Source organism: Homo sapiens, chromosome 5 (assembly GCF_000001405.40).
Source record: "Homo sapiens chromosome 5, GRCh38.p14 Primary Assembly".
In the NCBI taxonomy this organism is placed as follows: Eukaryota; Metazoa; Chordata; class Mammalia; order Primates; family Hominidae; genus Homo; species Homo sapiens.
In genome coordinates, this window is record NC_000005.10 from 170,877,903 (window position 1) to 170,905,175 (window position 27,273).

A 27,273-nucleotide genomic window follows, 5' to 3' on the forward strand; every position below is an offset into this window, starting at 1 on the left:
AGTAAATAATTTGGGGAGTAGGAGATGGGCCTGTTTTGTTTGCAACTGTATCCCCTAGTAAGTAGTTGTATATCGATAAACATGTATTGAATTAATGAATACACATGTGATATTTGTATCCCTTGTTTTTTGTGGTTAAATATTTACCTCATTTTTTTCATTGAAGTAAAATGTTAATTTTTTTTTCTTTGAAGAGTTTGGCTGAATTGGAAGTGTTATGTACTCATCTCTACATAGGGACTGATCTTACACAAAGAATAGAGGCTGAGAAAGCACTCTTGGAACTTATTGACAGTCCAGAATGTCTCAGCAAGTGTCAACTTTTATTAGAACAAGGAACAGTAAGTATTTGGTAACAATGATTAACCATGAAAGATCAGTAGATGTATGTCATTGTTAATGAACTCGTGTGTTAGCAATGGTAACTGATAGATATTGCCACATGGTTTTTTTGTTTTTGTGAAACTATAGTTTCACTGTCAAAGGGGTTAATCAGGAAAAGAATTGGAAAACCTGGAAAGCAAACTTAGGGAAGAGCCAGGAAATGAAATAGGAATGAATTGAGATAGTTTCTTGATTACTATTGGTCTCTTTTTATGTCTCATATTAGTGGGCAAATTTACATTTTTAGGAAGTTGACTAACAACTTAAAAAAATCTAGATAGGGGAGGCAGATTGTAATTACCTCAGAAACATGAAAGGATGATTCGAAAGCATGCTGATTACCTCTTGCCTGCCTCCCATCTAGATATTCATAGTCTAGACATTCATATTCATTTAGTAAAATATTTAAATGTCAAATCAGATGCTGTACTGCTTACTTGATTTATGTACATGAATTAAAGTAGCAGTTTGTTTAGTTGGAGAGGTAGATACCTAAATAGCTATGAAACGATTGCAGTAAGAGACTGTGTGGTCTAGAGCAGAGTTGTCAAACTTTTTCTGTGAAGGGCCAGATAGCAAATATTGTAGACTTTCTGGGCCAGGAGACAAAATGGAAGATATTTTGTAAGAACATCTATAGAAAGAGAAAAAACAAATTTCTACAAAGTTTTATTGATGAGATTCAAAATATAATAATCTAATACAGACTTTTTAATAATACAGGTCTGTTAATGAAGAGAATAGAACTGTTTTTGGGCGGATAACATTTTTCTATTAATAACTGGAGTTCAGAGTTGTTTTCTATCATCATCATTGATTGCAGATGTTCATATGTTAATGCTGATCTATAATGAGATTTTACATATTTTATATTTGAAAGTATCTTTTCACATAGATAGGTACTGCTAAATACTAATATCAGTCCATGAGCATATGATTATAATTAAGCACATTCATCATTTACAAGGCATTTAAAAAATTCTGTTAAATGTTGATATTTGCCTTTTAGCATGTCATTATATGCAGATTGACCACTTCCAATTGAAGATTAAGTGGGAGCTCTTAATTGCACAGTTAAATGGATTTTATAATATGGAAATTTCCTTTACATTTGCATCAAGATCTGAAGCTGGAGCTGTAGTTGAAGCTCAGAAAATATATCTCTGAATAGAGAGCTCACTACTTGTTTTAACTTTTGACAATGTGGGAAGTATATAAAGCTGCCTGACATTACTTGCATTTCAAATGATGTTATCAAAATGGCTTTACTGCAGTATAAGTTCTGCATATAGGTTCTAAGCACTTTTTAGGCAATTTTGTATTTTTGGTTGAATTTATTGAGGAACATTATCAATTTTGCAACAAAAAGTAAGTTCCAAAGCCATTTCGTGTTGAACAATGGTGACTTGGTTGTTCTGAATGAGACATTCAGAAAAATTTTAGCCTTATCCCTGAGCTAAAAAAATAGCAGTAAAAACTTATCACTGATAAGCTATTAAACTATTGTGTGAGGAGACAAGTAAGGATATTGTTTCCAACACAGAATATTCAGATACTGCTTCTCTATCTTACAGAAATTAACAGAGCTAAAGTTCACAAAAGTGAATGAAGTCCACTGTTAACACTACTGATTTATTAACTTACAATAGATTCATATATTTACCACACAGTATCTGCTGATGAATAATATGGTGAATAACCATAGACTTTAAACATCTTACATTTTTCACAAGCTTTGTAAATTTGTTCAGCTAAGCCCTTTTCCGCTCCATATGTTTTACCACTAGTGTGACATATCGTAGCAGATTCTACTTCAGTTTATATTGAATTAATGTGTCCTCAACTTCTTTGGAAATATTCTGTCCTGTAGTTCTCCCACAGTCTTCATAGAGGCCAATTCTTTAGTTGCTTCACACTCAGCATTGACTTCTAGAATAAACAGATAGTAAGTATTGGTAACATTAATGGTATGAGCATTATAAGAAACATCTGTCCACTCATCAAGACTTAAGGAGAACCTTTCCAAATCATTTGTCTTGTTTTCAAATTGACTTTTGATGTTGTTCCAGTGTCTTCAGCTCTTTGAGAATTTGCTCCCACCAGAAACTAGTAATCTTATTTTCTCTGCACATATAACTTTGGCTGCTGTAATAAAACAATGTTGATTTAATTAACTCATCATCGGTAAATGGCTGTGTGATTGGCTAACAAATGAGCCACTTGGAAACTTTGGTTGCAGTCTCATTTTTTATATTTGTAAAGACAGTCTACTATGATGAGATATCCAATTTTCTATTTTTTCTGACTTTTGATTTCCTGAGTTGGGAATATTGTGATGGGAATATTGGGGATATTGCTTGGTCTGATATTGTCAGCATGTATTGTATTCTTTTAGGACAACCATAGTACCATTACATAAAAAGCACATTGTTTTGCTATGTAATCAATGAAAGAATAGTCCATACTCCATTGTGCCTTAAAAATTAGATATTTGAAGTCCATTTTTATCTTTTCTTATTTCGATATGATAGACATGTGCTGGTAATAATAAAAGGTATGTGTCATGTCATGACAACACCCATGGCTCTCTAGGCACTGTAGAGTTGTAGCTACCTCACTGTGGTTTATGATACGCTGAGCAGCAGTAGGAAGCACTGAGCGCCACATGTGGTCTCTGTTTTAGCTATTCAATTCTGCCATCGTGGCATGAAAGCAGCCATAGGCAGTGTGTAAATGAATGAGCATGGCTGTGTTTTAATAAACTTTATGGACACCAAAATACAGATTTCATATATTTTTCTGTCACAAAATATTGTTTTGATTTTTTTGAACAGCTGAAAAGCTGTTTAAAATTGCAAAAAACATTCTTAGGTCACAACCCATGTAAAAACAGGCAGGATTTGGTCAAGGGCCATAGTTTGCCAGCCTCTGGTCTAGAGAAAAAAAGAGGGAGTATCTTTGCAAGAATTTCTAGGAGGTGGAGTGAATACATGAACCAAATTTTCAAGGGTGAGCATGCGTTTAGACAGTTTGAGTATAGTATTAAGATAATTGGGGGCCAGAGAGAATATAGTCAGACATGGGTTTCAAGGAACACGGAGGTCAGGGTGGGGAAGATTTGGAAAGGAACCTAAAGGCTGTCATGGTCAGAGCAAAGTCAAGAATGGAATCAGATGAATTTGAAGAGATAATCAGAGGCCAGATGATGTAGGGCTGTAGACCATGGTAAAAGTACTGTATTTTATTTGAACTTGCTTTATTTCTCCTCTTTGCTTATTGTTATTTGAGATGGCTGTCTACATCTCCCTCAACTAATGATTTCTTTTAAGAGATTGTATGCCTGTGTATGTGTATCCTTTTCTGTATGTATGTATCTCAAGTTGACATATTTTATCTATTGTAAATTTGCCAGTTTGGAAAACCGGAAGAATTTCTGTTATTGCTTAGAAGAACATCTCTATCACAATGCTTTATTTTAATTTCATTTATGATAATAATAAATAAAATTATTCTTTACAGACATCCTATGCTCAGCTCCTTGCAGCAACATGTCTTTCAAAACTTGTCAGCCGAGTCAGTCCTTTACCTGTTGAGCAGAGGATGGACATCAGTAAGTGGCTTATTATGCTTTTTAACCAACTGCGCTTTAAAAATCTTTTTCTTTTAAATATACTAAACTGTTACTAGGATTGCAAATTTTTTATGTCTGTCATTTTTAAAAACATGAGTATCAAGTCTCATTTACTCATCTGTGATGAACAGTGATGTGTTACATAAAGCAACGTCTAATCAAAAAAGCATTTTTTTTCTTTTTTTGAGACAGAGTCTTGCTCTGTCACCAGGCTGGAGTGCAGTGGCGCGATCTCAGCTCACTGCAACCTACGCCTCCTGGCGTAGCAATTCTCCTGCCTCAGCCTCCCGAGTAGCTGGGACTACAGGTGCACGCTACCACACCCAGCTAATTTTTGTATTTTTAGTAGAGACAGGGTTTCACCATGTTGGCCAGGATAGTCTTGATCTCTTGACCTCGTGATCCGCCCTCCTTGGCCTCCCAAAGTGCCAGGATTACAGATGTGAACCATCATGCCCGGCCAAAAAAGCATTTATTTAATGATAAACAATAACTAGCATTTTGTGTACTATTTGTTAAGATTTGTACTATCTCATTTTATCCACCAAATAAGATTTTTGAGTTATCCTCATTTCACAAATGAGGAAGTTAGATTTGCAGACAGGCTCTGTCACGTGCCCGAGATCACACAACTAGAAAGTAGTAGGGTTATGATTCAAAGCTACTCTACCTGTTTAGAGTCCAGGCTTTTAGTCATTATCTTAACTTGGTATGCAACTGAATGACAGGACAGAATTCAGCTCTCTGGTGTTTTTCAGGATGCTATATCAAAATCATTTGGGGTATATGTAAAATAAAAGCAGGTTCTTATTAGGAAGATAATTTATATATGGATAAACAGTCTTGGAACTTTACTTGAAAAAATGATTTTATAAAGTAGCAGTATGTTTTTTGGAGTTAATGTATTTTAAGTTTTTGTGTGTATGTAAGTAGCTTGCATTTCATATGGACAAAATTGTAATAATTGAGGTGTGGGGTTTTTTGGGTCATCTTTGTTCATATTAGAAATAGATTGTTGACTCATTTCTGTTCTTCAGCCTCAAGGTTAACATAATTTATATTTATCAGAAAAGTTAAAATGTATTGTATGTGATGGATCTTTAAGTTTAAATTTGACTGGTCAAAATCTCACAATGATACCTTGTTTTCCTCTATATTGACTGTTATTTTTATAAGCACTCTGAGTCTTAGGTACTGCAGAAAGCCTTGAGAAGGATTTATCCACTGTTGGACTTGCATACTTAAGAAAGCAAAGGAAAGGAGTTTACAGTTTTAAAAATAAGGGTTCAAATAGTGTAAAGCTAAGTCATAAAACTTGTGATTTTGTTTATTATACTTTTCAATACACATCTTTTAAATAGACTTAATTTTTTTAGAGCAGTTTTGGGTTCACAGCAAAATTGAGCACAAAGTACAGAGGACTTCCGTATAGTCCCTTCTGCCACACACGCACAGCTTCCCATCTATCAACATCCTGCACCAAAGTCGTACATTTGTTACAATTGATGAACCTACATTGATACATCATCATTAACCAAAGTCTGTAATTTACATTAGGGTTCACTCTTGGTGTTGTATTTCTATGGATTTTGACAAATGTGTTAATACAATGACATGTATCCACCAATATAGTATTATACAGAATAGTTTTACTGCACTAAAAATTCGCTCTTCTCTGCCTATTCATCCCACCCTCCCCCAACCCTGATCTTTTTACTGTCTCCATAGCTTTGCCTTTTCCAGAATATGATATAGTTGGAATCATACAGCCTGAGGTATCAATCATACATGTAGGCTTTTCACATTGGCTTCTTTCACTTAGTAATATGCATTTAAGGTTCCTCCATGTTTTTTTCATGGCTTGATACCTCATTTCTTTTTAGCGCTGAATAATTCTTTGTTGTCTGGGTATACCGCAGTTTATCCATTCACTTACTGAAGGGCATCTTGGTTGCTTCCAAGTTTTGACAATTATGAATAAAGCTGCTATCAACATACATATGTGGGTTTTTGTGTGCCCAAACATTTTCAGCTCCCTTGGATAAATACCTTGGAGCACAATTGCTGGATTATATGTTAAGAGTGTGTTCAGTTTTGTAAGAAACCACCACACTGTCTTTCAAGGTGGCTGCACCACTTTGCATTCCCACCAGCCATGAGTGAGAGTTCCTGTTGCACCACATCCTTGCCAGCATTTGCCATTTTCTGGATTTTGGCTAGTTTGATAGATGTGTAGTGGTATCTCCTTGTTTTAATTTGTATTTCCCTGAGAACATATGATATACAGCACCTTTTTATGTGCTTATTTGACCTCTGTACAATTGACCCTTGAACAATGCGGATATTAGGGGCATTGACCCCCTGCGCAATCAAAAAGTCACAACTTTTGACTCCCCCAAAACTTAACTGCTTATAGTCTACTGTTGACTAGAAGCCTTACCAATAACATAAAAACAGGCTGATTAATCCATATTTTGTATGTTATATGTGTTATATACTATATTCTGTGAATAAGCTAGAGAAAAGAATATTATTTGGAAAATTAAAAGAAAGATAAAATGTATTTACTATTCATTAATGGAAGTGGATCATCATAAAGATCTTCATCCTCATCATTTTCACATTGAGTAGGCTGAGGAAGAGAAAGAGGAGAGGTTGGTCTTGCGGTCTCGGGGTGGCAGAGGCAGAGGAGGCAGGAAAGGCAGGAGCACTAGGTATAACCTTATGGAAATACATTGTAATTTCTGTCTGACTTTTTTGCTTTTTCATTTCTTTAAAAATGTTTCTATAAAGTACCAATCCTTCTGTGTTCACTTTAAATTCAGTGCCCTGTATCATAGAAAGGTCCATGTCCTGAAAGAAGTCTGGAATAATGGAAACATTTCTGCCAGATTGTCCAATGTTAATTTTTTTTTTTCTGGCACTGCTGTTTCTACTACATCTTCTCCCTCATCATGTGGCACTGGTTCAGAAGCACTCATCTCCATAAAATCATCTGTAAATTCTGATGTTTCTTTTGTTAGATTCCCTAGTAGGTGTAGGTTTCTCCCTTGTGTAAAACTTAGCAATTTGTAGGAAACTTTGATCTTTTTTTTCAAGTGAGTAATGTCTGACAGGCTTAGACCTTTTGTCGCCTTTACTTAGAGTTGACGTTAGTAAATCCTTAAAGGCTTTTTAGTAGCAGACTTCCAAAAGATTCAGGAATTTTAGCATACTTTTAATTTCAGATTTTCAGCTGACTTTAGCTATAGTATACAGTAGGTTAAGACTCATGTCTATGACTTTTACTCGAAGAACAGCAGTAAAGTACAGAAGTTTTCTATATTTAGCCAAGATTTATTTCAGTAGAAGATAATCTTCTCTGACTAATCTTTGAGATTGGAATAAGCCTTTAAAGATAAACCTCAGAATTCTCATTTTGGGGTAATATCATCCATTTCAGTTCCCTAGGTTTGGCATAGGAGATAGTGACTACACTGGTGTGTGACTCTTTTCCTGGAGATTTCTTCCTGAAAAATGCAAGAGCTGTTGGTGAGAGCAGGCTTGCAGTGATAATAGTTGAGTCTGGTCTACAAAGATTTTGTAACTCCTTGGAAAGCCTCTTATAATCATTCTTAACCTCTTTGTAGCTAAAAGTTTAGAGTAGTTGAAATCTGTAGGAATGCACTTCTGAGGGCCAAAAATGTGACTGACTTGGGAACAATTCTTAAACTGATTAACTAGCTGTAATATAGTTTTGTGAATTTATTGCACTGATCCTGTACCTTGTGGTGTATTTGTCCCTATTAAATAAGTGTTGTTTTGTCCTCTTTAATGTTGCTTGTAAACAGTAGTGCCCATTGAAACATATATTTGATTTTTAAAAAATGTTTCATATGAAAACTACCTATTAGGTTTATTAGATCTTGAATTTCTCCAAGATCCATATCTTGAAACCCTTCACTCTCCACCTTTTTTTTTTTTTTTGCCACATCCACAGTCTCTTTCATGATTTCCTTGACTGGCTCTGCTGTTGTATATCCTGTGAAGTCATGCACAACATCTGGACAGAGCTTCCTCCAGCAGGAATTTATTGTTTCAGGCTTGATGGCTCTCATGGCTTTTTCTATAACAACAATGGCATCCTCAGTGGTAAAATCCTTCCAGACTTTCATGAATGTTCTCTCTGTGGGGGTTCTCTTCCATAGTGTTGACAATCCTTTTTATACAGTACCGTGTGTACCGTGTATGACCCCTAATTCAGAGGCTAAATTAGAGATGTGTTTAGGGGCACATAGACCACTTTAATGTCCTCATTGAACTCATGGGGTTCTGAGTGGCCAGGGACATTGTCCAATATGAAAAGAACTTTAAAAGGTATTCCCTTACCGGCAAGGTACTTAGTAACTTCAGGGACAAAGCATCTATGAAACCAATCCAGAAAAAGGTTCTCTTCTAGGCCTTGTTATACAGCCAGAAGACTGGCAGCTGGTATTTATTTTTTCCCTTCAAGGCTAGGAGATTAGCAGCTTTGTAGATAAGGGCAGTCCTGATCATAAACCTGACTACATAAACCTTGACTGTGGTTGGAACATGTACAATCTAAGCGTGTGTGTAAGTTTTGATAAATTTTAACTTTTTATAATAGATTTGTGTATATTTTATGATAGTAAATGATAAAATAGAGTAGTATCTACATTTATACCTTCTTATTTTTAAAAATATTTCAACACTACACCATTCATTTGAGGTGCCTTTTTTTTTTTTTTTTTTTTTTTGAGACATAGAGTCTCACTTTGTCACTGAGGCTGGAGTGCAGTGTGTGATCTTGGCTCACTCCTCCCTTTGCCTCCCGGGCTCAAGTAGTGATCCTCCCACCTCAGCCTCCCAAGTAGTTGGGACTACAGATGTGACTACCATGCCTGGCTAAGTTTTTGTATTTTTTTTCTAGAGATGGGGTTTCACCATGTTGCTCAGGCTGGTCTTGAACTCCTGAGCTCAAGCGATCCGCCTGCCTCAGCCTCCCAAAGTGCTGGGATTATAGGTGTGAGCCACCATGCCCGGCTATGTCCGAGTTTTTAAAAATTGTCATAAGTCTCCAAAAATTTTTCCAATATATTTATTGAAAAAAATCCATGCATAAGTGGTTCTCTACAGTTCAAACTCATGTTGTTCAAGGGTGAACTGTTACCTTCTTTGGAAAGGTGTCTGTTAAGGTCATCGGCCCATATTTTAATCAGATTGTATTCTTATTTTTGAGTTTTAAGAGTTCTTTGTGCAGTTTGGAAAGCGGTTCCTTTGATATGTCTTGTGCAAATATTTTCTCCCGATCTGTGGCTTATCTTTTTATTCTCTTGACATTGTCTTTTGCAGAGCAGAAATTTTTCATTTTCATGACAAAGTTTACCTTATTCATTCTTTCTTTCGTGGATTATGCCTTTGGTGTTGCATCTAAAAAGTCATCACTGAACCAAGGTCACTTAGATTTTCTCTTATTTTATCTTCTAGGAGTTTTATAGCTTTATGTTTTACACTTAGGTCTGTGAACCATTTTAAGTTAATTTTTGTGAAGGGCATGTAGTCTATGTCAAGATTCCTTTTTTCCATGTGGATGTCCAGTTGTTCCAGCACTATTTGCTGAGAAGACTTTTCTCATATTTAAAAGATTCATAACATATTTTGTTACTCCCTTTGCTCCTTTGTCAGAGATCAATTGACTGTATTTATATGGGTCTATTTCTAGGTTTTTTTATTCTGTTCTGTTGATTGGCATCTTAGTTGGTTTTGTGCTGCTGTCACAGAATAGCTGAGACTGGGTAATTTATCAAAAAAGAAATGTATTTCTTACAGTTCTGGAGGATGGAAAGTTCAAGATCAAGGGGCTGGCATCTGGTGAGGGCCGTCTTGGTGCATTATCCCATGGTGGGAGGGCAAAGAGAAGGCAAAAGAGAGTGACAAAAGGGGGCTGAAATCGTCCTTTTTAAAGGACCTACTCCTGAAATAATGACATTAAACCATTCATATGGGCAAAGCACTCTTGGTGTACTCATCTCTTAAAGATCCTGCCTCTTAAGATGTTACAGTGGCAGTTAAGTTTCAGCATGAGTATGGGAGGGGACAGACATTCAAACTGTAGCTGTTGATGTGTCATTTCTTTTGCTGATACCAAACTGTCTTGATTACTGTAGCTTTATGGTATGCCTTGAAGTAGGGTAGTGTCAGTCTTCCAACTTTGTTCTTCTTCGGTATTGTGTTGGCTATTTTGGTATTGTGTTCGGTATGGTGTTCGGTATTGTGTTGGCTTTTGCCTCTCAATATAACTTTTAGAATCAGTTCATTCATATACACAAAATAAATTACTGGGGTTTTCATTGGGATTGCATTGAATCTTTAGATATAGTTGGAAAATACTGATATCTTGACAGTGTTGAGTTTCCTGTCTAGGAACATGTAATATGTATTCATTTATTTAGATCTTCTTTGGTTTATTTTATTATAGTTTTGTAATTTTCCTCATATGGGTCTTGTACCTACATATTTTGTTAGATTTAAATCTAAGTATTAATATTTCATTTTTGAGGGTACTAATGTAAGTTATTTTGTGTTTTATTTCAAGTTCCAGTTGCTGGTAAAGCAGAGTGATTGACTTTGGTATATTAACCCATATTGTGTAACCTTGCTGTAATCATTTATTAGTTCATAATTTTTTGTCAGTTCTTTCATATTTTCTACATATCATGCCATCTGTGAGCAAAGACACTTTTAGTTCTTCTTTCTTAATCTATATGCATTCTATTTCTTTTTCTTATTGCATTTTCTAGGACTTACAGTATTATGTTGCAAAGCAGTGGTGAGAGGGGACATCTTGCTTTTTTCCCAATCTTAGTGAGAAAGCTTCAAGTTTCTCACCATTAAATATGATTTTAGCTGTAGGTTTTTTGTAGATGTACTTTATCAAATTGAGAAAGTTGTCCTCTATTCCTAGTTTGCTGAGAGTTTTCATCTCATTCATCACCATTCAACATCAATGGATGTTGAATTTTGTCAAATACTTTTTCTGCATCTATTTATGTTATCATGTGATTTTTCTTTAGCTTATTGATGTGATGGATTACATTAATTAATTTTTGAATATTGAACTAGCCTCATATATCTTTTTTCTTTCTTTTTTTTTGTAGTTTCTTTTTGTTCCATGTTCTCTTTCTCTCCTTGCTTTCTTTTGCTTGCCCTTTCTTTCTCTCTCTCACACTCTCTCTCCAGATAGTTCATAAGTTAACTCTCTAGACATAGATTATAGTGTATACTTCTCACTATTAGAATTTAGGGTTGTTTCCATCAGAGGATTTTTAGTTAAATTTTGAGGTGTGTATCGTCTCTTTCCTTTCCCAAATGACATACTGGCTTTTGGGGCAGAGGTAGAAATTGAGTGTTTCCCCTTTCTTTTAATTATTTTTATATTTTGATAGCACACTCTAAAAGACTATCTACAAGTTTGGATTTAGAGTTTTGAATTATGAATTATTACTAAAATATATGATTTGTCCAATATTTGGAAACAGGAAGCAAACAAAAAATCGGAATGAACCACAATAACCTGATTCAGAGTCCCAGTCATTTTACATTTTTGACCTTCATATTTTTGGCCTATAAGACAGAATAATAGTAATACATAATAGCAGTATCTTCACATTGCTATGAGAGCCACATCAAGTATTTGATGGGAAGCACTTCACAATTTCTGACATGCTTCATAAACATGAAATATTATTGTTACTGTTATATAGGCTTTTGACACGCAAAGGACCTCTAGTGTGTAGCTTTCCAACTTTCTACTGACTTTTGTCTGGGGTTTTTCCCAGCTGTTTGTTGTGGTTGTTGTTCTCCCATGTATCTTCCCAAACATTTCCATTTCTTCTTAGTATGGCTTTTCTCTATTAATTGTACCAGTGAGGAGGAGATTGCTGATGTTTTAAATGATTGTAATTATTGGTGCTTACTAAATTGGAACATTCTTATAGTTTGTGTAAAAAGCATAACATGAGAATATTTTGTGTAAAACATTCAGCTAAAGTAACAGAAACATATTCTAGTGATTTTTTTTCCCTGCCTTAGATAATGAATTTATTAGCCCTAGGTACCTTTGTTTGGGCAATCTGGGAACATGTCCTTGTTGGTATCTAGCTTTAAATGTGAAACTTGGGTTGTCTCCTATTTGTTTGTTTTATTATTATTTTGAGATTACCCTCCTCCTAGTGGTCACTACTACCCACATAGGGTTTGCCTGTATCCACTGCAAGATGAACATTTTCAGGATATTAAAAATAAAAGTGTAATTGAAGTAAATACACTGGATTTTCTTTTATATTCAGGAAGCAGTGTCATCTTCTTATGTTTTGTTATTGAAATAAAAGATTACATGCAACAAAGCTTAGAACCATATTACTGTGATTCGTAGGAGAAACTTCTCTGATATTTGTCCTAATGCTAAGGAAATTATGCTTTTTTTCAAAATGTATTTTATCTTTTTTATTGTATAACTATTTTAATATTAATAAAAATTAAGGTTGAAGTATAATAGTTACAAGAACTTTTTTAAATATCAAGAATCTTACTACAATTATCAAGAATGCTTGTTGCATACATTCTTGGATTTTGGAGTTGTTTCCATCAAAGCTGTTTTTAATTAAATATTGAGGTATTTACCTTTTCTTTACTATTTTCCCAAATGGCATGCTGGCCTTTCAGGCCAAAGTGGAAATGGAGTTTTTTCTCTTTTAAAAATTCTTCTTGTAGTTTTCCGAGAGACTTCTTGGTGTATTTGTTATCTGACTTCATGAGTCAACTAGAAAGCTCATAACTGAATTTGCTATCCACTTTTAACAGTTTTGGTGTATTAACTTTATTACAAGCTTGACTTTACTATTCTACTTATGCTTTCTTGAATTTATATATTTATTTTATCATATTATACTGTTTATGTTTGTTTTTGGTGGGACGGGATCTCACTCTGTCACCCAGGCTGGAGTGCAGTGGCATAGTCATTCTCAGTGTCCCAAGTAGGTAGGACTGTAGGCGCATGTCACAATACCCAGCTAATGTTTTAACAATTTTTTGTAGAGATGGGGTTTATTTGTATTTTTAATGCTACCTCAAGAAGACAGTGTATAGTCACTTTTGCTATAACATGACATGTTCCTAAAAGTGACTGTGCTATGCAATGCTACATAATAAAAAGCACAGGGCTTATGAGAGAAATCAGATTATGAAAATAAAATTTAAAAGTTTTGTCAGTGACATATTTAGAAAAAGATACAAATCAAATCAAAGGTTAGTAGAGTTTTACACATTAAATGGTTAAGGAAAGCATAGTACAATAAATATGACACTTTACCTTGGGAAAGACCTGAAGTTTGTTCTTAGAAGTGGGACTCAGAAGGGTTGCAGCTTGTGAGTTATTGTAAAGTGGTGAAAGAAAGATGATCTGAAATAGTATGGAAAGATATAATACCAGATAAGGATGGGTGGGGTTGATGATACATAGTAGATGTTTGAGGTATATGCGTTTTGTTCAGTTGGCCTGTATATTAGTTGGTTCTCACACTGCTATAAAGAAATATCTGAGACTGGGTGATTTATAAAGAAAAGAGGTTTAATTGGCTCATGGTTCTGCAGGCTGTACGGTTAGCATGGCTGGGGAGGCCTCAGGAAACTTCCAATTATGGCAGTAGGTGAAGGGGAAGCTGGCATGGCTTACATGGCTGGAGCAGGAGAAAGAGAGAAGGGGGAGGTGCTTCACACTTTAAACAACCAGATCTAGTGAAAATTACTATCATGAGAACATCAAGATGGAAATCTGCACCTATAATCCAATCACCTCCCAACAGGTCCCTCCTCCAACATTGGGGACATGAGACTTGGTCAGGGACACAAATCCAAACCATATCAGCCTGGTTTCGGTTTTCTGCATTCACCTAGCATTTTTTGGTAGATAAAATCATGCAGAAACAAAAGTGACATATTCAACAAAAGTGTTCTATTCACGTTTTTCCCTAATATATCAAATGCATTGGAACAAATTTGCTTTTTCAAAAGAAGCCTAATAAAAGAACTGTATAAATAAACATATGTCTTGAGGAGAGCTATTAACTTTTTGTCACAGCATGTCATTGCCACCTCTTTTTCTGTTTTTTGTAACAAATACTGCAACTTTTTTGTTTAAAGTTCACAAAATTCTTTTTTTTTTTTTTTTTTTACATTAAGTTCTGGGATACATGTGCTGAACATGGAGGTTTGTTACATAGGTATACATGTGCCATGGTGTTTTGCTGTACCTATCAACCCGTCATCTAGGTTTTAAGCCCTGCATGCATTAGGTATTTGTCCTAATGCTCTCCCTCCCCTTCCCCCACCCCCACCTCTCTTTCTTCATATGATTCACACTATGTTGTTTCTGAAAAGTCCAGATGACCCATGGAGTGTTTTCTTTGTAGGAAACTACATTCTGAATTACGTGGCATCACAGCCCAAGCTGGCTCCCTTTGTCATCCAAGCTCTTATTCAAGTCATTGCTAAAATCACTAAGTTGGGGTGGTTTGAGGTTCAGAAAGACCAATTTGTCTTCAGAGAAATTATTGCTGATGTGAAGAAGTTTCTCCAGGTAAGAAGTCATTGCTACATGGTTAGAACATCACTACTTGCTTTTTTTGGTTTAGAATACTGCTCTTCTTAAAGCGATATAGTTTGTTTTGTGACTACCAGTACCATGTTAATTATGATTTATTATTTATCCTCTGGATCCTTTATCATTTATTGTTAGTAAATGAGGATCGTGCTGTTACATAATTTCCAAATCAGAAGAATGTAAATAATCATGTTTTCTAATTTCAAAATGTGTGTACATTTATGACACATATGTCTATGTACTGTATATATAAAACATGTATATAATGCTTTTCATAGATTATGTAATTAAATGTTCATCACAACCTAAAATGAAATAGATTTTATTTTGTAAACAAGAAAACAGGCTTAGAGGGGTTAAATAATTTCTGTAAGATTGCATAGTGACTGATTAACGCATACAGCTAGCATTTAATAAGCCTCCAACTTACGATAAATTTTTTAATTTTTTAATTTTTACACTATACCACATTGACTATATCAGTTTCTCAAGAATGTTTTCAATTTCATCATTACACATTGTATATAGGTATCAAATAGGTACAGCTATTATATATCAATAAAGAATAGTTATTTTAAAAACAATATTTTTAACCTAAGTGATTAAAATAAAGTCATAGTATATGCACATTTAACTTACATAAATTCAGATATATGGACAGCCAAAAAAAAAAACCAAACCAAACCAAAACAAAATAAACAGAGGCAAGAAAACATTAAACTAAATCATGCCAGTGATTCCATGTCCTGGGCTGATTTAGGGAAACCTGAATCTGCTCTTGTTTCCTGTTTACTCTTACTCAGGATGACTGTCATGCCTTGCTCAGTATGATTCAGATATTTGAAGATATATGTATATATTTTTTCATACAAACGTAATTCCCAAGTAGAAGAGAACTATTTTATCTGATGTCCAGCTAAAGAAACATGATCTGGACTGGGCGTGGTGGCTCATGCCTGTAATCCCAGCACTTTGGGAGGCCAAGGCGTGCGGATCATGAGGTCAGGAGATCGAGACCATCCTGGCTAACACGGTGAAACCCTGTCTCTACTAAAAACACAAAAAATTAGCTGGGCGTGGTGGCGGGCGCCTGTAGTCCCAGCTACTCGGGAGGCTGAGGCAGGAGAATGGCGTGAACCCGGTAGACGGAGCTTGCAGTGAGCGGAGATTGCGCCACTGCACTCCAGCCTGGGCAACAGAGCAAGACTCCGTCTCAAAAAAAAAAAAAAGAAAAATCCATGCTCTGTTAGTATTCTTGAGGAAAAATTGGCAGTTTTGATTAATAGATGGTTCAGTTTTGGTTCATGGTTGAGTATGGGCAATTTTGACTTTCGGAGATTTTACTTTTATGCAGTAACTTTAAAATTCAACCCCTGTCTAAGATATAACTTCATCATATAGTGCAGTGCTGGAAACCTCAGAATATGAAATGCTAGGTTATGCTGCTTCTGTCTTATCTATGTTGTTAAAACCTGGTTAACAAATATTTGATCATTTAGAACTCCACAGGAATAAGTGTTCTTAGCTCTGAGGAGATCAGTTTATACTAGGGCAGAAGGATAGTTTATTCAGGACAAGTATGAGCTTCACACTTCAGAGTTGCATTTGTAAGTTTGGCAAGCACAGTAGCATCCCCCTTTTGTCTTTTACTAAGATTGTTCATCAAGATTTATTTGAGTAGACAAGAGGCGACCATGCAGTTCTTTAAAAATAAAGTCAGGGTTGAAATTGAATGAAATTCTTGTTGGCTAACATTTCTCAAGCTCCCTCTTTAGTGGCCAGTAAGCTCAACTTAAGTTGGGATTCAATGTACCTTTACCAGTTCTGGAAGACCAAAAGAAACAACATGTTTTAGCTTGAAAGTTTATTATATAATAGTATCACCATAGAATAGTTAGTACGTGTTTTTTATATATATATATATATATATGGCTTGACCTAACCCTGCATCATGAGAAAGTCAATTTTGGCTTTAGTGTTTTAGTTTTCTAGAATATTATCATATGGTTCCTTTGAGTATTAGCAGCTTTTGTGAATTTTGTCCTAAAAGTTATTTTAAGTTTGTCACATCTTTAACAGCCTGAACTTTTGTGCATTCTCTTTTTTCTATTATTATGGCCCTCTTGCTGCCACACTCCAAACATACTTATGTGTCTCCTTTCTACTGATATACTCAGGAGATCCTACTGTCATTTAGGGCAGTGCTATTCAAATTACCGGTCTTCAGCAAGATAAGGAGCTTATGTAAGACTGTAAATGAACATAGTGCCTTCTTCATTGAGAAAGACTTGCTATGACAAAAAAGCCAGCTGACCTAGTGTACTTTGTGACTTAGCTGTTTTATAATCTGTTACATGCTCTTTATTTTGTCATGGACGAGTAACAAACTATTTTCAAATTAGAATTGAGTTTGTAGGTCATCAATCAGCTGGTTCTAGCAATTGGTCAGGGTACCACACTTTGGGGAACATTAACCTGGTGTACACATAGGATGGATGTTTCAGTGTGTAGGAAATCTGGAGCTCAGTTCAGACACTCAGACTGTCTTGAAAGGCCATAAATAATTAAAATGCAAAAATTGTGAGACCTTTTTTTGTTCTGAGATAATTTGAATTTAATTACATCCAGTGATAATGGAATTCTGTGATAGTTAAAAGGAATGACCAACTATAAAATTAAGATTTGAAAAGTGTATCTATCTTCTGTGTCAGTTTTTAAAAATGATTGCAATGTAATTGGATGCTGCATTTATGATTTTCATAATTCCAGTATGATTTCACACAAGGGTAGTTTGTTAGTAATGTGCATATAAAGTCTGAATTTTAATGATGGAAAATTTGAGATTAAATTGGAAGCTGATTAAATTAAAAACATTATATAGATAGTCATGTATTTATCTCATTGCATTGTGTACTTTACATGCCATCATTATAGGTATGTAACAATTTCATATACATGCACAATTAATGTTAAAAGAGCCTAAGTGATCCTATCTGATATTAGAACAAGAGATTTGAATTAGTGCCTAAGCTACTTATTATTTATTTATTGTTGAGTGTCTCTATCTCAATAGGCTTTAAGCAAATTATAGAGCTAAAAGCATTTTTTGCTTATTCTTATTCTTGGTCTTATAAAAGGTATTAAGCTAAATTCTTGTATTTTGAAACTTAGTTTATTATTTGTCCTATAAGTGCTGGAAACATTTTGTTGAGTATCATGCATTTATAAGGGAGGAGCTTTTTCCCATTTAGCTCTGTGTATCCAAATTTATCTTTCAAAAAATAGGTTTGAAATTCTTTTGTTTATAGAACTCATAGCGATTTTTCTTTATATTTTATAATTTTGTTTCCATTTTATTATTGAGTAAATGTGGTGTTTCAGTCTTTAATTGTTTGTAAATGTTACCTGGTATATACATTAAGAACCAATCACTTGTCTCCACTTAGGCTAAACTTTGTTATTTTCTCCAAAGGGTACTGTGGAACACTGCATAATAGGAGTAATAATCCTTTCTGAATTGACTCAGGAAATGAACCTGGTAAGCGAGCCTTTCCATCTAACAGGAGCCTGAGTTTGCTTAAGTAATGCTGTTTCTTTTCTGCTTTTATTTGTGGCAAAATAGACAGCCTTCATTTTGTGGCATAAAACTCTGAATAATCAAGTTTTTTGTGTGTGTATCTGTTTTATTGATGGGCTAATTAAGTGGTGGAATATTTTCATTGTTATTGAAGATATCTGCAATAGTACAGAGTATTACAAAGAACAGAGAATTAGACATGGTTCTTGCTCCCATGGGCACTTGGAGAATTGTTCTTTTACCTCATATATGTCATAATATGCTAACCATAAGAAATATATGCAAAAGAGAAACAAACCTTTATTCACTTACAAATAAAATATAGGTGGTTTGAGGAATTGATTCTCAACAATGGATACACAGCAGGACTCATAAAAAAACAGGCTTTTTTTTGACTGGGCCAGGTGGCTCACGCCTGTAATGCCAGCACTTTGGGAGACTGAGGCAGGGGGATCACCTGAGGTCAGGAATTCGAGACCAGCCTGGCCAACATGGAGAAACCCCATCTCTACTAAAAATACAACAATTAGATGGGCGTGGTGATGGGCGCCTGTAATCCCAGCTACTGGGGAAGCTGAGGCAGGAGAATTGCTTGAACCCGGGAGGCAGAGATTGCAGTGAGCTGAGATCGTGCCACTGCACTCCACCCTGGGTGACAGAGCAAGACTCTGTCTCAAACAACAATAACAAGAAACAATACAGGCCTTTTGGGTTGCAGGCCCAATGCAGAGGCCGGCGCGGCTCACAAGCGCCCCCAGCTGACTATGCACCAGAATGACCCAGTTGGTGGTCATACTGGTTGGCCAGTGCGAAAACCAGATTGGCTGCTGCTTCTGGGACCTGGCACTAAGGGAGCACGCCGCGGTCAGCCAGAAAGGAATCTATTATGAGGCAATAAGCAGCTTCCTTAGAAATGTGGATACCAGCTGTCTTGATTGACATGGTAGAAGGGATAGTGAATGAAATTCTGCAGGGACCACTGAGAGATGTATTTGATACCAAACAGCTCATCACTGATACTTATGGCTCCGGAAATAATTGGGCTGTGGATCACAAAGTTTTTGGCAGTCTGTATCAAGACCAGGTTTTAGAGAAACTCAGAAAGTTGGCAGAGCACTGTGATTGCTTGCAGTGTTTCTTTATAATACATTCCGTGGGAGGAGAATCAGGATCTGGGCTTGGCACATTTCTTCTTCTTCTTCTTCTTTTTTTTTTTTAAATATTCCATTGCGCGTATGTGTACGTACAACCATATTTTCTTCATTGTTATACTTTAAGTTCTTGGATACATGTGCAGAATGTACAGGTTTGTTACATAGGTATACATGTGCCATGGTGGTTTGCTGCACCCATCAACCAGCCATCTATCTACATTAGGTATTTCCCCTAATGCTATCCCTCCCCTAGCCCCCCAACCCCCAACAGGCCCCGGTGTGTGATGTTTCTCTCCCCGTGTCCATGTGATCTCATTGTTCAGCTCTCACTTATGAGTAAGAACATGCAGTGTTTGGTTTTCTGTTCCTGTGTTAGTTTGCTGAGAATGATGTTTCCAGCTTCATCCATGTCCCTGTGAAGGATATGAACTCGTCCTTTTTTATGGCTGCATCGTATTCCATGGTGTATATGTGGCACATTTTCTTTATCCAGTCTATCATTGATGGGCATTTGGGTTGGTTCCAAATCTTTGCTATTGTGAATAGTGATGCAGTAAACATATGTGTGCATGTGTCTTTATAGTAGAATTATTTATAATCCTTTGGGTATATACCCAGTAATGGGATTGTTGGGTCAAATGGTATTTCTGGTTCTAGATCCTTGAGGAATTGCCACACTGTCTTCCGTAATGGTTAAACTAATTTACACTCCCATCAACAATGTAAAAGCGTTCCTATTTCTCCACATCCTCTCTAGCATCTGTTGTTTCCTGACTTTTTAATGATCGCAATTCTAGCTGGCGTGAGTTGCAGTCTTGCTTTATGAATCTGGGTGCCTCTGTATTAGGTGCATATATATTTAGGATAGTTAGCTCTTCTTGTTGCATTGACCTTTTAACATTATGTAATGCCCTTCTTTGTCTCCTTTGATGGTATCTCATTGAGTTTTGATTTGCATTTCTCTAATGACTAGTGATGATGAGCTTTTTTTCATACGGTTGTTGGCCACATAAGTGTCGTCTTTTCAGAAGTGTCTGTTCATATCCTTTGCCCACTTTGTGATGGGGTTTTTTTTTCTTGTAAATGTGTTTAAGTTCCTTGTAGATTCTGGGTATTAGCCCTTTGTCAGATGGATAGATTGCAAAAATTTTCTCCCATTCTGTAGGTTGCCTGTTCACTCTGATGATAGTTTCTTTTGCTATGCAGAAGCTCTTTAGTTTAATTAGATCCCATTTGTCAATTTTGGCTTTTGTTGCCATTGCTTTTGGTGTTTTAGTCATGAATTCTTTGCCCATGCCTATGTCCTTAGTGGTACTGCCTAGGTTAGGGTTTTTATGATGTTAGGTCTTATATTTAAGTCTTTAATCCATCTTGAGTTAATTTTTGTATAAGGTGTCAGGTAGGGGCCCAGTTTCAGTTTTCTGTATATGGCTAGCCAGTTTTCCCAACACTATTTATTAAATAGGGAATCATTTCCCCATTTCTTGTTTTTGTCAGGTTTGTCAAAAATCAGATGGTTGTAGATGTAGAGCATTATTTCTGAGGCCTCTATTCTGTTCCATTAGTCTATACATCTGTTTTGGTACCAGTACCATGCTGGTTTGGTTACTGTAGCCTTGTAGTATACTCTGAAGTCAGGTAGCATGATGCCTCCAGCTTTGTTCTTTTTGCTTAGGATTGTCTTGGCTATATGGGCTCTTTTTTGGTTCCATATGAAATTTAAAGTAGTTTTTTCTAATTCTGTGAAGAAAGTCAGTGGTAGCTTGATGAGGATAGCTTTGAATCTATAAATTACTTTGGGCAATATGGCCATTTTCACAATATTGATTCTTCCTATCCATGAGCATGGAATGTTTTTCCATTTGTTTGTATCCTCTCTTATTTACTTGAGCAGTGGTTTGTAGTTCTCCTTGAAGAGGTCCTTTACATCCCTTGTAAATTGGATTCCTAGGTATTTTATTCTCTTTGTATCAATTGTGAATGGGAGTTCACTCATGATTTGGCTCTGTTCGTCTGTTATTGGTGTATAGGAATGCTTGTGATTTTTGCACATTGATTTTGTATCTGAGACTTTGCTGAAGTTGCTTATCAGCTTTAAGGAGATTTGGGGCTGAGATAATGGTATTTTCTAAATATACAATCATGTCATCTGCAAACAGAGACAGTTTGACTTCCTATCTTCCTATTTGAATACTCTTTATTTCTTTCTCTTGCCTGATTGTCCTGGCCAGAACTTCCAATACTACATTGAATAGGAGTGGTAAGAGAGAGCATCCTTGTCTTGTGCCGGTTTTCAAAGGGAATGCTTCCAGCTTTTGCCCATCCAGTATGATATTGGCTGTGGGTCTGTCATAAATAGCTCTTATTATTTTGAGATATGTTCCATCAATACCTAGTATATTGAGAGTGTTTAGCCTGAAGGGTTGAATTTTATTGAAGGCCTTTTCTGCCTCTATTGAGATAATCATGTGGTTTTTGTCATTGGTTCTGTTTATGTGATGGATTATGTTTATTGATTTGCATATGTTGAACCAGGTTTGCATCCCAGAGATAAAGCCGACTTGATCATGGTAGATAAGCTCTTTGATGTGCTGCTGGATTTGGCTTGCCAGTATTTTATTGAGGATTTTTGAGTTGATGTTCATCAGGTTTAATGGCCTGAAATTTTCTTTTTTTGTTGTGTCTCTGCCAGGATTTGGTATCAGGATGATGCTGGCCTCATAAAATGAATTAGGGAGGAGTCTCTCTTTTTCTGTTGATTGAAATAGTTTCAGAAGGAATGGTACCAGCTCCTCTTTGTAACTCTGGTAGAATTCAGTCGTGAATCCGTCTGGTCCAGGGCTTTTTTTTTGGTTGGTAGGCTACCAATTACTGCCTTAATTTCAGAACCTGTTATTGCTCTATTCAGGGATTCAACTTGGGTTTAGTCTTGGGAGGTATGTGTGTCCAGGAATTTATCCATTTCTTCTAGATTTTCTAGTTTATTTGCATAGAGGTGTTTATAGTATTCTCTGATGGTAGTTTGTATTTCCGTGGGGTCAGTGGTGATCTCCCCTTTATCGTTTTTTATTGTGTCTATTTGATTCTTCTCTCTTTTTTTCTTTGTTAGTCTGGCTAGTGGTCTATCTGTTTTGTTAATCTTTTCAAAAAACCAGCTCCTGGATTCATTGACTTTTTGAAGGGTTGTTCGTGTCTCTATCTCCTTCAGTTCTGCTCTGATCATAGTTATTTCTTGTCTTCAGCTAGCTTTTGAATTTGTTTGCTTTTGCTTTTCTAGTTCTTTTAATTGTGATGCTAGGGTGTCGATTTGAGGTCTTTCCAGCTTTCTGGTTGTGGGCATTTAGTGCTATAAATTTCCCTCTAAACACTGCTTTAGCTGTGTCCCAGAGATTCTGATACATTGGGTCTTTGTTCTCAATGGATTTAGATAACTTATTTATTTCTGCCTTAATTTTGTTATTTACCCAGTAGTCATTCAGGAGCAGGTTGTTCAGTTTCCATGTAGTTGTGCAGTTTTGAGTGAGTTTCTTAATCCTGAGTTTTAATTTGATTGCACTGTGGTCTGAGAGACTGTTATGATTTTGGTTCTTTTGCATTTGCTGAGGAGTGCTTTACTTCCAATTATGTGTCAATTTTAGAATAAGTGCGATGTGGTTGTGAGAAGAATGTATATTCTGTTGATTTGAGGTGGAGAGTTCTGTAGATGTCTATTAGGTCTGCATGTTCCAGAGCTGAGTTCAAGTCCTGAATATCCTTGTTAATTTTCTTTCTCGTTGATCTCTCTGATATTGACAGTGGGGTGTTAAAGTCTCCCACTATTATTGTGTGGGAGTCTAAGTCTCTTTGTAGGTCTCTAAGAACTTGCTTTATGAATCTGGGTGCTCCTGTATTGGATGCATGTATATTTAGGATAGTTAGCTCTTCTTGTTGTGTTGATCCCTTTAACATTATGTAATGCCCTTCTTTGTCTCCTTCGATCTTTGTTGGTTTAAAGTCTGTTTTATCAGAGACTAGAATTGCAACCCCTGCATTTTTTTGCTTTCCATTTGCTTGGTTAATCTTCCTCCATCCCTTTATTTTGAGCCTATGTGTGTAGGCTATTTACAAAGGCACATGAGATGGGTCTCCTGAATACAGCATACTGATGGGTCTTGACTCTTTATCCAATTTGCCAGTCTGTGTCTTTTAATTGGGGCATTTAGCCCATTTACATTTAAGGTTAGTATTGTTGTATGTGAATTTGATCCTGTCATTATGATTGTAGCTGGTTATTATGCCTGATAGTTGATGCAGTTTCTTCATAGTGTCGATGGTCTTTACAATTTGGTATGTTTTTGCAGTGGCTGGTACCAGTTTTTCCTTTCCATATTTCGTGCTTCCTTCAGGAGCTCTTGTAAGGCAGGCCTGGTGGTGACAAAATCTCTGAGCATTTGCTTGTCCGTAAAGGATTTTATTTCTCCTTCACTTACAAAGCTTAGTTTGGGTGGATATGAAATTCTGGGTTGAAGATTCTTTTCTTTACGAATGTTGAATATTGGCCCCCACTCTCTTCTGGCTTGTAGGGTTTCTGCAGAGAGATCTGCTGTTAGTCTGATGGGCTTCTCTTTGTGGGTAACCCAACCTTTCTCTCTGTCTGCCCTTAACATTTTTTCCTTCATTTCAACCTTGGTGAATCTGACGATTATGTGTCTTGGGGTTGCTCTTCTCTAGGAGTATCTTTGTGATGTTCTGTGTATTTCCTGAATTTGAACGTTAGCCTGTCTTGGCGGGTTGGGGAAGTTCTCCTGGATAATATCCTGAAGTGTGTTTTCCAACTTGGTTCCATTCTCCCCATCACTTTCAGGTACACCAATCAAACATAGGTTTGGCCTTTTCACATAGTCCCATATTTCTTGGAGGCTTTGTTGATTCCTTTTCATTTCTTTTTCTCTAATCTTGTCTTCACACTTTATTTCATTAAGTTGTTATTAATCTCTGATATCCTTTCTTCCTCTTGATTGATTTGGCCGTTGATGTTTGTGTATGCTTCACAAAGTTCTCTTGCTGTGTTTTTCAGCTCCATCAGGTCATTTATGTTCTTCTCTAAACTGGTTATTCTAGTTAGCAATTCCTCTAACCTTATTTCAAGGTTCTTAGCTTCCTTGCATTGGGTTAGAACATGCTCCTTTAGCTCAGAGGAGTTTATTACCCACCTTCTGAAGCCTCCTTCTGTCAGTTCGTCAAACTCATTCTCTGTCCAGTTTTGTTCCCTTGTTGGCGAGGAGTTGTGATCCTTTGGAGGAGAACAGGTGTTCCAGTTTTTGGAATTTTCAGCCTTTTTGCACTGGTTTTTCCTCATCTTCGTGGATTTATTTACCTTTGGTCTTTGATGTTGGTGATCTTCAGGTGGAGTTTTTGTGTGGATGTCCTTTTTGTTGGTGTTGATGCTATTGCTTTCTGTTTGTTAGTTTTCCTTCTAACAGTCAGGCCCCTCTGCTGCAGGTCTGCTGGAGTTTTCTGGAGGTTCACTCCAGACCCTGTTTGCCTCGGTATCACCAGCGGAGGCTGCAGAACAGCAAAGATTGCTGCCTGTTTCCTCTTCTGGAAGCTTTGTTCTAGAGGGGCACCTGCCAGATGCCAGCCAGTGCTCTCCTGTATGAGGTGTCTGTTGACGCCTGCTGGGAGATGTCTCCCGGTCAGGAGGCACGGAGATCTGTGCCTTAGCAGAGCTTGAGCACCATGCTGGGAGATCCCCTGCTCTCTTCAGAGCTGGCAAGGAGGAACATTTACATCTGCTGAAGCTGTGCCCACAGCCGCCCCTTCCCCCAGGTGCTCTGTTCCAGGGAGATGGGAGTTTTATATATAAGCCCCTGACTGGGTCTGCTGCCTTTCTTTCAGAAATGCCTTGCGCAGAGAAGAGGAATCTACAGAGGCAGTCTGGCTACCGTGGTGGGCTCCGCCCATTTTGAACTTCCAAGTGTCTTTGTTTACACTGTGAGGGCAAAACCGCCTACTCAAGCTTCAGTAATGGTGGACGCCCCTCCCCCCACCAAGCTGGAGCATCCAAGGTTGACTTCAGACTGCTGTGCTGGCAGCAAGAGTTTAAAGCCAGTTGATCTTAGCTTGCTGGGCTACGTGGGGGTGGGATCCTCTGCGCTAGACCACTTGGCTCCCTGGCTTAGCCCCCTTTCCAGGGGAGTGAACGCTTACGTCTTGCTGGCTGGCGTTCCAGGTGCCACTCGGCACATTTCTTTTAAAGGTGCTTGAAGATGAATTCCCAGAAGTATGTAGATTTATGACCTCCATTTATCCTTCCGGTGAGGAGGATGTCATAACTTGACCTCATAATGGCATCTTGGCAATGAAGGAACTTAATGAGCAAGCAGACTGTGTGTTGCCCATTGACAGTCTTTATTTGACATCATTAGCAAAGTCGACCTCATAGTGAATTCTGGAAAGTTGGGTACAACTGTAGACGACTTCAAGTGCTGTGGCTTTAAAAAGCAGAATAAGCCCTTTGTTGCAGTCAACAACATTGTGGCAAATTTGCTCAACCTAACAAGCTCCGCAAGATTTGAAGGGTCCCTTAATAAGGACCATAATGAAATCAGCATGAATTTAGTTCCTTTTCCTCAGCTTCATTATCTTGTATCAAGCCTAACACCTCTATACACACTGGCGGATGTTAACATTCCTACTAAAAGATTGGATCAGATGTTTTCAAATGCCTTTAGTAAAGATCACCAGCTGCTTCAGGCAGACCCTAAACATAGTCTTTACCTCACCTGTGTGCTCATGGTTAGAGGAAATGTACAGATTTTACATCTTTGCAGAAATATTGAAAGATTAAAACCATCTCTACAATTTGTCTCCTGAAATCAAGAAGGCTAGACCAGCCTGTCCCTCCTGTGGACCATTTTTATTCATTATTAGCTTTAGCAAATAACACATATGTGAAGCCCACATTCATGGAAATGAAAGAGAGATTCATGAGGCTCTACAAGAAAAAAGCTCACCTTCATCACTGTCTACAAGTTGAAGGCATGGAAGAAAGCTATTTCACAGAAGCTGTGTTGTTTTTATCAGCACTCATACAGGAGTGGCCACCACTGTATGAGTGGATGCCAGAAAAAACATACCTGTGCAAGATTTACCAAGCCTAAGCATAGCCGTGTATAAAAGAAACCCTCCAAAATATTTTCTTAATTTCACGTTTTTTCTCACCTTTCTGTTTCAGTATTTCTTTGAGATTCAGAAAGTCTAGTTTGTTTTTCATATTAGGAAATATTTTTGTCTAAAAGAGTGATTTCTGTTTAATCACAATTTGTCGATAATACCAGTGTGTGAAATTAGTGAAATCCTAGTACCTGAACTTCAGACATTTGTCTTCAGAAAAATCTCCCTTTCTAAAATTGAGAGAATGGAGTTCTTCAGTATTATGTTGTATTTATAACCTCATATTTAGGCATTTATACACTGATAATCATGTCTTCAATAAAAATCTTGTACAGATTTTTATCATTTATATTTTGATATTCTATTTAAATTCTCCTGATTCTGTAAAAGTAGGTACTGGGAATAGAAGAACATAATATAAATATTTCTGTGTAATACCACTAACTATTCAGGGATAGGTTTTATTCCAACCGTTAAGGAGGTTTTGTTTCTTCTTTAGATAAGAACTTGTTTTCTCAAAAGAATTCTAATTTGTACACTTAACATGTATTTGTATTAAATTTTTAAAATAATTGCTTTCTTATCAAACCAATTGATTTTATAATAATAAATGTTTATATTAAAAAACAAAACAGGCCTTTTTTCACTTTATGGCTCCTAGTTTGGATTTTTACCCTGTACAAGGGGAGTTTTCAGAAGCTGTACTTCTCCC

General features: G+C 36.6%; 1 protein-coding gene and 1 pseudogene across 19 annotated transcripts in view, besides 2 other annotated features; both read left to right on the forward strand.

The window, feature by feature from the left end:
- Window positions 1–27,273, forward strand: part of RANBP17 (RAN binding protein 17) — a 437,998-nt gene that overhangs the window by 15,885 nt on the left and 394,840 nt on the right. For all 19 annotated transcript variants that reach the window (XR_007058628.1, XR_941108.3, XR_007058630.1 and 16 more), the window contains exons 2-5: window positions 195–341; window positions 3,904–3,994; window positions 14,485–14,651; window positions 18,148–18,213. Coding sequence is in view for 15 of the 19 variants with exons in the window: in XM_011534627.2 (XP_011532929.1) it covers window positions 195–341; window positions 3,904–3,994; window positions 14,485–14,651; window positions 18,148–18,213 (471 nt within the window). In the remaining 4 variants the exon portion in view is untranslated. The remainder of the gene's footprint in view (window positions 1–194; window positions 342–3,903; window positions 3,995–14,484; window positions 14,652–18,147; window positions 18,214–27,273) is intronic.
- LOC100419059 (tubulin epsilon 1 pseudogene) lies at window positions 18,980–26,854 on the forward strand (annotated as a pseudogene).
- Window positions 24,911–25,412: an enhancer, noted in NCBI's record as "H3K4me1 hESC enhancer chr5:170329817-170330318 (GRCh37/hg19 assembly coordinates)". NCBI's record gives its function as "activates a minimal SCP1, AML or CMV promoter by ChIP-STARR-seq in primed H9 embryonic stem cells {active_cell/tissue: H9 hESC(primed)}" and the evidence as "EXISTENCE:reporter gene assay evidence [ECO:0000049][PMID:30033119]".
- Window positions 25,413–25,912: an enhancer, noted in NCBI's record as "H3K4me1 hESC enhancer chr5:170330319-170330818 (GRCh37/hg19 assembly coordinates)". NCBI's record gives its function as "activates a minimal SCP1, AML or CMV promoter by ChIP-STARR-seq in primed H9 embryonic stem cells {active_cell/tissue: H9 hESC(primed)}" and the evidence as "EXISTENCE:reporter gene assay evidence [ECO:0000049][PMID:30033119]".